Below are 15,095 nucleotides of genomic sequence, written 5' to 3'. Positions count from 1 at the left end.
CGTGCCCAGCAAGACATTACCTAAGCTCAAAAGGGTTTAAAGGACTTATAACCCTGCCTTTTACCCTCAATTATTTCATGATCACCACCATGCCCTTTTTCCTGGTCAGGTGGTTGGCAGTAGTTTGGAATACCTTGCTGTTTGTAGAACATGTTAAAGCATGAATTATTTGTTGCTATGCCTTCTGGGTGCATATTTGGATGCCCTAACAGATGAACTAATAGCTCTTTTCATCTCACTCTCTTTATTGAGTCTTGCCCATTTACAACAAAGGAGAGACTTGTTTTGTAGATCTTTAAAACACACCTGAGGATTTTGAATTCATTTATAAGCCAATCCCCTCCAGTGATCATTCAGTAAGAACCAAAGTCATTTGCAAAGCTATACACCAACAACATTTAAACTGGTTAAATTGAGCCAAACCACCCAATTTGGCTGTTCAGCCAAATTCAAGTATGTCCAATGCATTGGGATATTAAATCCCCAACAAATTCTTCTTTGGCATGGCCTGACAAGATCACTGGTATTTATTGGTTGCTTTTATACAAATGGAAAGAAATATATCATAACCAAAAAGTTTTCACAGGCAACCTCATTAGAATCTTGCATGGGACCCAAGAGTGGGCTGAAGAACACAGTCTTTCCTGCCAAAGAGCAGCCTTTTGCTCTGCAAGCAGGTGGCTGATGGGCTGTTTTATGAAGGGTTTAATGATCTCTGTCTGCCTTAGTTACCTACCAAAATAAACTGTGTGAATCCCAACGTGGTAGAAGGACTCCCTCATTAACTGTCAAGCAAAATCTTGGTAGGGCTCCACAGCCTGAGGAAATAAAGTTGCTAAGGAAGACAAGTCAGTGATTCTGTAGTTTCTACAGACCTCTGCTTCAGATACTGTTAGCAGCCCAGGAAGTAGTTCTGTTGGCTGCATTGATCCTGGGCCCAGAATTACCCTAAGGCAGAACCATCAGGGAGACAGAGCTAGATCAGTCTCCATTCCCCTAGGACACTACTCATTTGGCGACAAGCTAACCAGAGAGCTTCACTCAATTTATAATATTCATAACTGATAAAGGCCTTTTCTGGTATCCCACTAATTATATATCCAGGTTATAACCTAAATAAGATACAAAACTGAGGATGCATTTTTGTCTGATCTCTTTATTTGATGCCTGAGGAAACTGAGACTCAGGAATGGCTGAACTGCCTGAAGTTGCACACCTGAGAGTCGAGCCCAGGTCTCCTGACTTGCAGGCCACAGTTCTTCCTGCTGTGAATACCATCATGTGCTGCCAGCTGCACATGGTTGAATGGGAGTTACAGAAGTTTGGAAAACCTGGGTCAGATATCAGACTAGAGAAACATCCAAAGAGAGATAAGAAAAAACATAGACTGGATGGTCCACAAGCCTCAGTGTAGGAAATGAAGTGGATTAGCCAGGAAATCAGGAACCTAGGCTGTTTTGAGGGGGCATAAAAGCTGCCTTGCTCAATCATGCTTATTTCAATCTATAGAGAGAAACACCCTACAGGCAGAAGACCTGCCATTTTTACCCATGCTTGGTCCAAGAGTACGCCTTCCTTCATCCATATTTCTAGCTTTCTCCCCACCCACTCCTTTCTTTGGAAGGAAGTTATTTTCCTTTCCTATCACTGAAAATTCTAACAGAGCCCCACTGAGAGTCTTCTTCATCCTACGTCCTCATTTAAAGCCAAATTTTACTGAGCACTTACTATGCACCAGGTGCTGAGCTGGGGTAACAAAGATGGAGCAGCCACAGTTATAATCCACAAGGATCTCCTCATCCAAAGGTCCTGTTTATGTAGAGTGCTTGCTTGCACCATGTGGACAGTGAGCATACTTCTAAACCCCAAATCTCAACATATGGTCCAAGAAAAGCCTGCTTTTCTAATTTGCGAATGTTTTATAAGGGTGTCTTTAAAAGGCTTACAAATTGAATTGTGTTAGTAAGTCCTATAACAAGTTCCTTTACTAGAAAAAAATAAATTTTATTAAATCAGGATTTTTGAGAAAAATCTGTGCTGTGTGTTCTCCAAATCCATATGTTTTAACTTGTAAAACCTCCCTATAATCACAGTCTATTGCAGTTGGGAAGGATCTGAAATGTCACCTAATCCAGAAGATGTAAATTTTTTATTTTTTAACAATGAAACAATTTTTAAAAACAAATATTACCGTGACTTCCAAAATAATAAAAGAATTAAAATTGGCACCTTTCTCCTAAAAAATGAGCTTGTTTACTCTTCCCGTCGCAAATGAGGAAACTGAGATCCAAAGAGAGTGAGAGGTCAAAGGTCTCAAAGAAAGTTACTTGCAGAGTGAGGGTAGGAACATAGGATCCTTTCCTATTCTCTTTCCACCCATCCATCCATCCACTCATCCATCCATCCATCCTTCCATTCACCCACCCACCCATCCATCTATTCATCTATCCACCCATCTATCCATCCATCCACCCATTCACCTATCCATCCACCCATCCATCTATTCATTCATCTGCCATCCATCCATCTATCTACCCACTCATATATCCATCCATCCATCATTCCATTCATCCACCCACCCACCCATCCATCTATTCATCTATCCATCCATCCACCCCTTCACCTATCCATCCACCCATCCACCATCCATCTACTCAGCCATCCATCCACTATCTATCCACCCATCCATCCGTTCATTAATCCACCCATCCATTCAACAATCCACCCAATTTTCTATTCATCCATCCATCCATCCACCCACCATCTATCTATTCATTTATCCATCCATCCATCCATCATATATCTACCCATTGATCCATCCACCCATCTAGATATTCATCTATCTACCCATCCACCAACCATCCATCTATTCATCCATCCATTCATCTACCCATCCATTCATCTACCCATCCATCTATCTACCCACTAATCCATCTATCCATCCATCCACTTCACAAACCTTCAATAAGTCCTAGGGGTCCTGCACTTGAAAAACAGGTAGACAGAGGCCAGACCATGCATGGCCTTATGAGTCACCTTAAGAATTTTGGACATTGTCTTAAGAACAATAAGAAAGACATTGCAGTACTTTTTGTTTTGCTTGGGTTTAGGGATTTTCTTTTAAAAACATTTTATTGTAGAATGTTTCAAAAGTAGAAAGAGTAGTATCAATTACCTAGCTTCAATAATTCTCAGCACATGGAAAACCTTGTTTTACGTCTCCCCACTTTCCCCACCCCACTGGGTTATTGGCCTGCAAATACTCAGTATGAATCTTCAAAAGACAAAGACTCTTTAAAAATATATATATATATATATAATATATATAATATAAAATTATAATACCATTATCAAACTTAAAACATTTCCATAGTAATTCCATAATATTAAAATTTCATTAGCTGACTAAAAAGTTTAGAGATTGGGAACTCACATGACACAGTTGACATTTTAGAGACATCAGCTCTGGCTACAGCATGAAGAAAGGGTTATAGAGAGATGAGCCAAGTCTCAAGGGCCAATGCAGTAATCCAGATGAGAATGGAAGTGGCCTGAACATGACAGCAGTAGGGACAGAGAGGAATGGAGAGGTACAAGAGCACTGCAGGAGGCATCGTCGAGAGGACATCTTGAAAGCCATGGGGAAGATAGACAATGGAAACCATTAGGATGAGGCCATGGGGAAGATGGACAATGGAAACCATTAGGATGAGGCCCAGCATCTAGTGTGGGTGGTGGTGCCATTCACTGAGAGGAGACCAAAGCTGAAAATATCCATTTGGATTAACAGATGGGGTGTGTCTTTTGGAGAGGTGGAGCACAGGGTGGGAGAGGGGCATCACGGGGAGCTGTCCAGGGCCAGCTGGAGAGAATGCTTGGGCTGGAGAGACAGGTTCAGGAGTCCTGAAGCTGTAGGTGGAAACTGAAGTTGTGGCTGCAGGTGGTGAAAGTAGAGGAGGCTGAGGACAGAACTGGAGGCTCAGTGCCATGATGGGAGGTGAAGAGAAACACCCAGACAGACTAGCACCAAGGAAAGAGCATCATTTAAAAGGGGAAACGTGGTCAATGGTGTGAAATCTTGCAGAGATGTCAAGTAAAGTCAGACTCAAAGTGGGCCACTGGGTTTAGGAAAAAGGATTTAGAGCAAGGGATGTTGGGAAGAGCCCGGTTGGTGAGGGAGAGAAAGCAAGCACCAGACTGTCACCAGTGAAAACGGAGGAACTGGAATTTCTTCTGCGCCCGACCCAAAGTGCTAGGATTACAGGCGTGAGCCACTGCACCCGACCCAGTCTGTAATATTTTATTATGGCAGCTCTAGCAAACTAATACAGCCAGGCACTGTGATTAACATGTTACTTCCTTCTTTTTATTTAATATTCACAAACATCTCATGAGGTAAGTGCTCCTGTATCTCCTTTTCTTGATGAAGAGATTGAAGCTTAGAGAGGGAAACAAACTAACTTGCATAAGATGGAAAAGTCAGTAAGCAGAATTCTAATGCAGTTTCCCAGGGATGCTGTCACAAAGCACCACAGACTGCAGGGCTTAAACAGAAATCGATCGTTTCACAGCTCGGGAGGCTGGGAGAGACCAACGGGTCGGTAGGGTTGGTGGCTTGAGAGGGCTGTAAGGAAAGAATCTGCCCATGTTTCTTCATATCAGCTTTCCTCTCCGTATTGCTCCTCTTTATAAGGACATCAGTCCAGTTGGATGAGGGGCCCACCCTGCTCTAGTAGGACCTCATCTTAACTAATTACATCTGCAATGACTTTATTTCCAAATAAGGTCCCATTCTGAGATACTGGGGGTTAGGAATTTAACATATGAATTTGGGGGTACACAATTCAATCCTCCTGCCCTGCCTGGATGAAGGCCGTGTGAGCTGAAGGACTCAGTCAGCTAGGGGAAAACCTGACTTCAGGGTCTTAAAGGAAAGGGGTGACTGCTGGGAGCAAGTCAGGAGAGAGGTCATATATGGAGAAAAGTCCCATAGAAGGCAAGACAGGATGGCATTCAGTGGCAGGTGACAGGTGGAGGGATTCACTTGGGCATGAGAGGACACATTTTCCTTATTGTTACAAGGATGAGGGAAGGAAAAAGGGATGAGTTGAAATGTGAAGTCAATCTGCAGATGTGGAGGAGGGAAGTTGAGGAAGTTCATTTCAGAGGGCGCCTGCTTTCTTTGTGGAGCAGGTGGGGAGACTGCCTACTGAGGTTAACAGCAGGGTTTAAGATTGGGGCTCAGAAGAAAGACAGCAAATAAAACCAGAGACATTGAAAAACATGGGGAAAGTTTGAAACATCCGCTGTGTATAAACTGCAACAGCCTGCTGTTTCTAGACTAGGCCCCATTCAATGTAGCATTGCAGAAGATAATCTACTCTCATTTTAATTAGAAAAATAGGAGAAGAGGAGGGTGAGCTGGCCAGGGAACTACAGAAGGCTGCCTGACAGTAACAAGGGTCTAGATGGCATTGGTGGCCCTGAGGTTGCAGTGGCACCATCTGCAGGGTGTGTGGTTTTGCCAGCCATGCTCAATAGCTGGGCGATTGATGCAGAGTAAGTAAACAGTTGAGTTCATCCAAAGCTGGGCTTTGGCCAGGGCAATGCATTAAAAGGACAAACGGCAAGGAGGTTGAGCATATTGGCAAGAGGAGGGTGAAGTAGGGAAGCTCAGGGGTTTCAGTGGGCAGAGAGGGAAGTGGGCATGTGAGGAGGCTGTGGCTATTTCTGCTGAAGAGGCCTGCTCATGCCCCTTGCTTTCGGAGCGCATGGCTGTTGCTGCTTCCTGGAGGAACAGATGCTGCCAGATGTGCCATACTAATGAGCTGCAGGCTGACAGGCTCCCCAGATGGTCTCCCTCCTCTGCAGTGGTCCTGACTGGTCCCAGCTGGGCAATTCAGCAATTTGTGCTCAGTGCTGCCACAACGCTCAGAGCATGCTCTGGGGACACACACCCCTGTGAAAGGATGAGGTTGGTACCAGCTGCCCTCCTAGTGGCGTGTCGATGTATCCCCTGGATCAGTCAGCTCATTTCTCTGTTACTTTAAAATGCAGTATGGAGTGACTCTGTTTACATCTTGGATTTTATTGCTGTAATCTTCTAAGACTACCAATCTTCCCTTAGCTGCCATATTTCAAATAAAAACTATGGATATTATTATAAATATTATTGATATTACTATTCTATACCTCTACTGATGTTATTAGCAGTCAACTTGAAACTCCAAGTTACCATATTCACTTCAGTATCTTCATATACAAATAAAGGAGAAGAAAAACCCATAAATGTTTTAGAGGGGTGGTGACACACTAATGTTATTCCTAGTACAAAATGGTCAACATTTAAAAAAAATACTAAACATTGTCAGAAGCAATGGGAGCTATTATACCTTGTTGATGAGAATATCGATTGATACGACCACTTTGGAAACAGTTTGGTATTTTCTGTTAAAGCTGAAAACAAAGCAGGCAAGGTTCTGTGAGCCTGTAGTCCCAGCTACTCAGGAGGCTGAGGCAAGAGAATCCCTTGAGGCAGCCTGGGCAACACAAAGAAACAAGGAAGGCAGGAAGGCAGGGAGGGATGGAGGGAAACCTATCATCCAGCAATTCCACATAAACACAACAGAAACAGATAAAGATCTACGTAGCATTATTATTCATAATGGGCTAGTACTGGAAACAACACAATTGTCTGTGAACATTATTAATAGGATGGAAAAATGTTGGCATATCCATACAGTGGAATACCATACAGCAATGCAAATTACAAACTACAGCTACAGGCAATAACACAGATGCATTGCTCAAACCTAATGCTGAGTGGGAGAAGCTGACACAAAAGATCATATGCTGTGATCCATTTATCCAAAGTTTAAAAACAGGGGAAGTCACTTTATTGTATAGGAGTGCCAAGTGACATAGTAAAGCACAGAGAAAACTAAGGAGGGAATGACGAGAACAGTCCAGGTAGTCACCTGTAGGCAGGCCCACCGTTAACAGACAACTGGCACATTCAGTAATTGAGGACACATAAGTATACTTTAGACGCTGCTTTGCTTATATACAAATAAAAATCTGCAATATATATCATATGGAATTATTCTTTTCCTTTGACATCACTTCAAAATGTATATTATCTGATTCTTATCATGAGTTTAAAACAAAGGATCAATGCCTGATATTCTCCCAAATAATAAATTATCAGGATTCCTTGGAGCATGACAAAAAACAATTTTTTGTGGGGCTTAAGGTAGAAGTACAGATGGAGAACTGCATATTATGGGTCTAAATATTGTAAAATTATAAATTAAACTAACAAGCTGTTAAATAAAAGATGTCCCGGCCGGGCGCGGTGGCTCACGCCTGTAATCCCAGCACTTTGGGAGGCTGAGGTGGGCGGATCACGAGGTAAGGAGATTAAGACCATCCTGGCTAACACGATGAAACCCCGTCTCTACTAAAAATACAAAAAATTAGCCCAGCGTAGTGGCGGGCGCCTGTAGTCCCAGCTACTCGGGAGGCTGAGGCAGGAGAATGGCGTGAACCTGGGAGGCGGAGCTTGCAGTGAGCCGAGATTGCGCCACTGCACTCCAGCCTGGGTGACAGAGCCAGACTTCGTATCAAAAAAAAAAAAAAAAAAAAAAAAAAGATGTCCCATCCTCCTACTTGGACAAATGTCTCTTCATAGTGACCTGAGAAACCACGTTGGACCTTAGAATTCTTGGACTGCTTGGGTCTTCCTGCTGTAACATGTGCCACAGGAAGAAGCCACCCCTAGACCCAGCCATCTACCCTTATGCCCCAGCCCTGCTCCATCCCATAACCCAAGGGCCTTGGTGCTCATATGTATCACTCTTGAGCCCTCAAGTCTACCTTCACCCATGGCCTTTTACGAATATCTGCTTCCAGGCCCCCCGTCAGGAATAAGGACTTAAGGAAGAGCCCACAAAGACCAGGAAGTAGGTTTGGAATCGTCTGAACAGGAAGTCCCAATGTCCTGGTCCTTGGCACGGGGTCTAGAAAGGGAGACATGGATCTCGGGTGGGCATGGTCTCTTGGCCCCACAGACCTCTTTCCCCTTGAGAAAGTTCATGGCTGGAGGACAGCCAGAAGCCCAAAAGCACAAGGCCCAACACAGAGACCCCGGTGCATGGGGTAAGGGTAGTACCACCTTAATGGGAAAGAGAGGGGTTGCACTGGAAAGGGCTCTTGGAAAGCTTCTGGAGTCCTGGCAGTACTCTATGTCTTGACCTGGGTGGCAGTTAAATTTATAACAATTTATTAAGCTATACATTTATTTTATACAGTTTTCTATATGTGTGTTATATTTCCCAGTAAAGAATTAATGACATGTGTGTGTGTATATATATATATATAATTTCTGGTACTGTAGTTTATGGTATCCCCATAGACAAATCAGCTCTGAGAGGTTGTCTTATAAGCACAGACACCTTGGGCAGTTAAAATGCCTCAAGGTGTGAGTACCTAAAGAAGCAATAGACAGACAGGGCGCTGGAAACGCAGTAAATCTCCCTTTTGTTTCTCCATCCTGTGTGGGGCCAAGACACTGGGGTAACCACACATGGGTTCAGGCAGAGCAAATGAGTCATGGGCCTGTGTCCCCTTGCCTAGCCACTGCAAGTGCCTCAGAGGAAAATTCCTTTTTCCCCCCTCTTAGCCAAGACTATAAATACTGCGTTTATCAAACTGAAATTACAGGAGGCTGTTCCCATCCTGGTAGAAGTGAAAGGAGACCAACTCCCAATTATCCTGTTTGGAAAGGAGTTCTAGGAGGACTTCTCTTCCTCCTAAGGGCAGCTGCATAGGTTCATTAATTTTTTTGCTGAGCTTCTATTATGTGCCAGACACTCTTCTTATTTTTCTGCTTCCCCTTTTAAAACAACCTCTTACTTATTCTTGATAGGAAAACACTGTCCTTTTACAAAGATTCACATTACCAATTCTCAAAAAGATATTCACGTGCCCCGTGTGGTTTAAATATCAGGGTTTTTCTAAGGATATATACCCCAACTATAGCCTACAAATACATACACATACATACACACACACCATCTCAAAACAGCCTTACAGCTGCAAGATATTGAAAGAGAGTGAAAAATTGGCCAGTACTAACTCACCGAAAGCCCAGTCCATGTTTTTCCCAAAAAATCAAATTCTGGGCTTTGCATCTAAGCTATTTAAAAGCCACATTTCCAAAACACTAGTTTTTCTCCTTTTCTGGAAACAAGAAAAGCATATGGCTCCAGTGACCTTCACAAGCTGCTGGTAAGAGGTAGAGTCAGGCACATCTTGTGGCTTCAAAATGATAAAAGTGGTAACATATTAAGTTGGTATAAAGGGGGATGGTGGGGCCTCAGGGATGGGAGAGTAGAAAACAATCAATGAAATCAATGACAAGACTAAAACTGTAGGTTATAGGCAAGGAAATTTCACTCTCACCTCTACTATCCATACAAAACATCTGGCAAACGTCTACCCATCTCTCAAGACTCCACCCAAGATTGACCTTCCTTTGTGCCCTCACCAGACCCACTGCACATTTGACCCGAAATGATGTAACATTTTATTGTGCTGTATTTTTGTTTGTTCAGTGAGACTGTGGGATCCTTGAGGACAGGACTATATTTTATGTGTCTTTGAAGTTCCAACTAAAGCATAGTAAGAACCCCATAAATGCTTTCTTTGATTGCATGAATGAATGGATGATGGATTCCATTCACAAGACTATGGATTTGGCTTTTCCAGCTGCTATGATGCAACCCTTAAATGATGAAAAGCATCTCAATTTTTTTCAGATCTTACCAACCTTTCCATCTCTATCTCCTGTTTTCAGATTCAGTAAGCTGTGAGGTCCGTAATGTCAGACACTGGCAAACATCATATGTTCTTCAAGTAGAGTTATGAAAACGAAGAAACTGGTCAGAAGAGTAAAACGCCGGAATTGTCCTTTCCAACATCCAGAGCTGCATCATTCCTTGGGGCAAAATGTGGACAAGGGTGAGTACTGATAGAAAAAAACAGACAATTTGTGATTCCCCTTTTTCCAGTTTGCTCAGCCTAAATTCTCTGCAATAATAATACAAATCATGTTTTTTTGTCATACGGGCCTGCAACTAACATTTGGGGAAAATACTGTTAAGTTTAGACTGCCAGATTTTGCTGTTAGGTGAATTTTTTACATGGATGCACTGATGCCCACAGGGCATCCTATTCCATCCAGAAATCTCTGGGGAAGCAGTCTTCTGGGATGCAGATAGATTATTCCACTTAACATAATGGTGCCCGAGCAAGCCTGGAAGTTACACTCACTGAACTATTCATTCAGAAGCTGATTGCCCACGTTTGGAAATAGCCAGTTCTTGGTGCCTTGTTTCTCTGTTTGCCAGTCACCTTCAACCATTCAACTTCCATTCGGCCATTCCTCAAGAAAATCAAGTTGGCCTGGAGTAGAGTGTAGGATGAAAATAATCAATTTTTCTATCTAACCAAGGCTTCCTAAAGGTTTTATGAAAATTCAGTAGAAGAAATGATATGTAATTTTACCTATTAGTTGGCCTCTAAAAGAGGCAGGCATCATCGCATGGCATAGTGGCATTGAGGGTCACAAAGATCTGAATTTTGGTCCTTGCTTTTCTGTTTAGTAGTAGAGTTGACCTGGAGCCAGTGACCTGACCCTTTTGAATCTCTGTTTCTGTGTTTATAAAATGGTGACAGGAAGATTGTTCAGAGGATGAAATGAGAAAATGCACATAGAGTAACTCATGCTCAAAATGAAAAAAGGTAAATTCCCTTATCTATTGAGATCGATCAACTGTTTTCTGTATCTCAGAGAATCAACCATCAACTGCACACAAATAAAAAAGCTCTGGGCACCGTATCAAGCCAAGAACAGCCCAATCTCCTTTCTGGGCAAACGTTCCAAGGTAAATATAATAAGAAATGCTTTCTTTAAATAATTTGATAAGTAACAAAAGGATTTCCCTGGAAGGCATTAAAAACAAGTTTGATTGTCATATCACTGTGGGTTTTTTTAATTATATTTTAAGTTCTAGGGTACATGTGCAAAACGTGCAGGTTTGTTACATAGGTATACATGTGCCATGTGGGTTTGCTGCACCCATCAATTCATCATTTACATTAGGTATTTCTCCTAATGCTATATCTCCCCCAGGCCCCCACCCACTGACAGGCCCCGGTGTGTGAGGTTCCCCACCCTGTGTCCATGTGTTCTCATTGTTCAACTCCCACCTATGAGTGAGAACATGCAATGTTTGGTTTTCTGTCCTTGTGATAGTTTGCTTAGAATGATGGTTTCCAGCTTTATCCATGTCCCTACAAAGGACATGAACTCATCCTTTTTTATGACTGCATAGTATTCCATGGTGTATATGTGCCACATTTTCTCAATCCAGTCTATCATTGATGGATATTTGGGTTGGTTCCAAGTCTTTGCTATTGTGAATAGTGCCCCAATAAACATACGTGTGCATGTGTCCTTATAGTAGCATGATTTATAATCCTTTGGGTATATACCCAGTAATGGGATGGCTGGGTCAAATGGTATTTCTAGTTCTAGATCCTTGAGGAACCGCCACATTGTCTTCCACAATGGTTGAACCAGTTTACACTCCCACCAACAGTGTAAAACCCTTCCTATTTCTCCACATCCTCTCCAGCATCTGTTGTTTCCTGACTTTTTAATGATGGCCATTCTAACTGGTGTGAGATAGTATCTCTTTGTGGTTTTGATATGCATTTCTCTGATGACAAGTGATGAGCATTTTTTCATATGTCTGTTGGCTGCATAAATGTCTTCTTTTGAGAAGTGTCTGTTCATATCCTTTGCCCACTTTTTGATGGGGTTGTTTGTTTATTTCTTGTAAATTTGTTTAAGTTCTTTGTAGATTCTGAATATTAGCCCTTTTTCAGATGGGTAGACTGCAAAGATTTTCTCCCATTCTGTAGGCTGCCTGTTCACTCTGATGGTAGTTTCTTTTGCTGTGCAGAAGCTCTTTAGTTTAATTAGATCCCATTTGTCTATTTTGGCTTTTGTTGCCATTGCTTTTGGTATTTTAGTCATGAAGTCCTTGCCCATGTCTATGTCCTGAATGGTATTGCCTAGGTTTTCTTTTAGGATTTTTACAGTGTTAGGTCTTACATTTAAGTATTTAATGCTTCTAGTTAATTTTTATATACGGTGTAAAGAAGGGATCCAGTTTCAGCTTTCTACATATGGCTAGCCAGTTTTCCCAGCACCATTTATTAGATAGGGAACCCTTTCAATATTGCTTGTTTTTTTCAGGTTTGCCAAAGTTCAGATGGTTGTAGATGTGTGATGTTATTTCTGAGGCCTCTGTTCTGTTCCATTGATCTATATATCTGTTTTGGTACCAGTACCATGCTGTTTTGGTTACTCTAGCTTGTAGTATAGTTTGAAGTCAGGTAGCGGGATGCCTCCAGCTTTGTTCTTTTAAGTAGTTTTTTCCAATTACGTAAAGAAAGTCAGGTAGCTTGATGGCGATGACACTGAATCTATAAATTACCTTGGAAAGTATGGACGTTTTCATAATATTGATTCTTCCTATCCATGAACATGGAATGTTCTTCCATTTGTTTGTGTCCTCTTTTATTTCATTGAGCAGTGGTTTGTAGTTCTCCTTGAAGAGTTCCTTCACGTCCCTTGTAAGTTGGATTCCCAGGTATTTTATTCTTTTTGTAGTAATTGTGAATGGGAGTTCACTAATGATTTGGCTCTCTGTTTGTCTATTATTGGTGTATAGGAATGCTTGTGATTTTTGCACATTGATTTTGTATCCTGAAACTTTGCTGAAGTTGCTTATTAGCTTAAGGAGATTTTGGGCTGAGACAATGGGGTTTTCTAAATATACAATCATGTCATCTGCAAGCAGGGACAATTTGACTTCCTCCTTTCCTAATTGAATACCCTTTATTTCTTTCTCTTACCTGATTTCCCTAGCCAGAACTTCCAACACTATGTTGAATAGGAGTGGTGAGAGAGGGCATCCCTGTCTTGTGCCGGTTTTCAAAGGGAATGCTTCCAGCTTTTGTCCATTCAGTATGATATTGGCTGTGGGTTTGTCATAAATAGCTCTTATTATTTTGAGATACGTTCCACCAATACCTATTTTATTGAGAGTTTTTAGCATGAAGCGCTGTTGAATTTTATCGAAGGCCTTTTCTGCATCTATTGAGATGATCATGTGGTTTTTGTCATTGGTTCTGTTTATGTGATGGATTACATTTACAGATTTGTGTATGTTGAACCAGCCTTGCATCCCAGGGATGTAGCCAATGTGATCGTGGTGGATAAGCTTTTTGATGTGCTGCTGGATTCGGTTTGCCAGTATTTTATTGAGGATTTTTGCATCAATGTTCATCAGGGATATGGCCTAAAATTATCTTTTTTTGTTGTGTCTCTACCAGGCTTTGGTATCAGGATGATTCTAGCCTCATAAAATGAGTTAGGGAGGATTCCCCTTTTTTCTATTGATTGAAATAGTTTCAGAAGGAATGGTACCAGCTCCTCTTTGTACCTCTGGTAGAATTCAGCTGTGAATCTGTCTGGTCCTGGACTTTTTTTGGTTGGTAGGCTATTAATTATTGCCTCAATTTCAGAGCCTGTTATTGGTCAATCCAGAGATTCAATTTCTTCCTGGTTTAGTCTTGAGAGAGTGTATGTGTCCAGGAATTTATCCATTTCTTCTAGATTTTCTAGTTTATTTGCATAGAGGTGTTTATAGTATTCTCTGATGGTAGTTTGCATTTCTGTGGGATCAGTGGTGATATCCCCTTTATCATTTTTTATTGCATCTATTTGATTCTTCTCTCTTTTCTTTTTTATTGGTCTTGCTAGCAGTCTATCTATTTTGTTGATCTTTTTAAAAAAACAGCTCCTGGATTCATTGATTTTTTGAAGGGTTTTTTGTGTCTCTCTCTCCTTCAGTTCTGCTCTGATCTTTGTTATTTCTTGCCTTCTGCTAGCTGTTGAATTTGTTTGCTCTTGCTTCTCTAGTTCTTTTAATTGTGATGTTAGAGTGTCGATTTTAGATCTTTCCTGCTTTCTCTTGTATGCATTTAGTGCTATAAATTTCCCTCTACACACTGCTCTAAATGTATCCCAGAGATTCTGGTGTGTTGCATCTTTTTTCTCATTGGTTTCAAAGAACATCTTTATTTCTGCCTTCATTTCGTTACTTACCCAGTAGTCATTCAGGAGCATGTTGTTCAGTTTCCATGTAGTTGTGTGGTTTTGAGTGGGTTTATTAATCCTGAGTTCTAATTTGATTGCACTGTAGTCAGGGAGAGTTTGTTGTGGTTTCTGTTCTTTTACATTTGCTGAGGAGTGCTTTACTTCCAACTAAGTGGTCAATTTTAGAATAAGTGCAATGTGGTGCTGAGAAGAATGTATATTCTGTTGATTTGGGGTGGAGAGTTCTGTAGATGTCTATTAGGTCTACTTGGTGCAGAGCTGAGTTCAAGCCCTCGATATCCTTGTTAACCTTCTGTCTCATTGATCTGTCTAATACTGACAGTGGGGTTTTAAAGTCTCCCATTATTATTGTGTGGGAGTCTAAGTCTCTTTGTAGATCTCTAAGGACTTGCTTTATGAATCTGGTTGCTCCTGTATTGGGTGCATATATATTTAGGATAGTTAGCTCTTCTTGGTGAATTGATCCCCTTACCATTATGTGGTGGCCTTCTTTGTCTCTTTTGATCTTTGTTGGTTTAAAGTCTGTTTTATCAGAGACTAGGATTGTAACCCCTGCTTTTTTTTGCTTTCCATTTGTTTGGTAGATCTTCCTCCATCCCTTTATTTTGAGCCTATGTGCGTCTTTGCACATGAAATGGGTCTCCTGAATACAGCACACCCATGGGTCTTGACTCTTTATCCAATTTGCCAGTCCGTGACTTTTAACTGGGGCATTTAGCCCATTTTCACTTAAGATTAATATTGTTATGTGTGAATTTGATCCTGTCATTTTGATGTTAGCTCATTATTTTGCCTGTTAATTGATGCAGTTTCTTCATAGCATCAATGGTCTTTACAATTT

At 41.4% G+C, this 15,095-nt stretch overlaps 1 protein-coding gene and 1 long non-coding RNA gene across 8 annotated transcripts in view; one reads left to right on the top strand and one right to left on the bottom strand.

The window, feature by feature from the left end:
- The window catches only part of NEDD9 (neural precursor cell expressed, developmentally down-regulated 9), a 199,051-nt gene that overhangs the window by 66,337 nt on the left and 117,619 nt on the right, over positions 1-15,095 (top strand). Inside the window, exons 2-3 of one of the 2 annotated variants that reach the window (NR_073131.1) lie at positions 9,857-10,020; positions 10,853-10,946. Coding sequence is in view for 1 of the 2 variants with exons in the window: in NM_001142393.2 (NP_001135865.1) it covers positions 10,009-10,020 (12 nt within the window). In the remaining variant the exon portion in view is untranslated. The remainder of the gene's footprint in view (positions 1-9,856; positions 10,021-10,852; positions 10,947-15,095) is intronic. The other variant, NM_001142393.2, reaches the window with a different exon arrangement.
- The window catches only part of LOC105374925 (uncharacterized), a 44,069-nt gene that overhangs the window by 19,779 nt on the left and 9,195 nt on the right, over positions 1-15,095 (bottom strand). For 5 of the 6 annotated variants that reach the window (XR_001743967.2, XR_926470.3, XR_007059446.1 and 2 more), the window contains 3 exons: positions 10,567-10,714; positions 10,333-10,464; positions 9,830-9,997 (listed from right to left, as the gene is read on the bottom strand). This is a non-coding gene — a long non-coding RNA (uncharacterized LOC105374925). Of the gene's footprint in view, positions 1-9,829; positions 9,998-10,332; positions 10,465-10,566; positions 10,742-15,095 lie in introns of those variants that run through there. The other variant, XR_007059445.1, reaches the window with a different exon arrangement.

The sequence above is a fragment of the Homo sapiens genome, chromosome 6 (assembly GCF_000001405.40).
Source record: "Homo sapiens chromosome 6, GRCh38.p14 Primary Assembly".
Taxonomy (NCBI): Eukaryota; Metazoa; Chordata; class Mammalia; order Primates; family Hominidae; genus Homo; species Homo sapiens.
The sequence above is the reverse complement of the archived record's forward strand: the minus strand, read 5'-3'. Positions and strand labels throughout refer to the sequence as shown.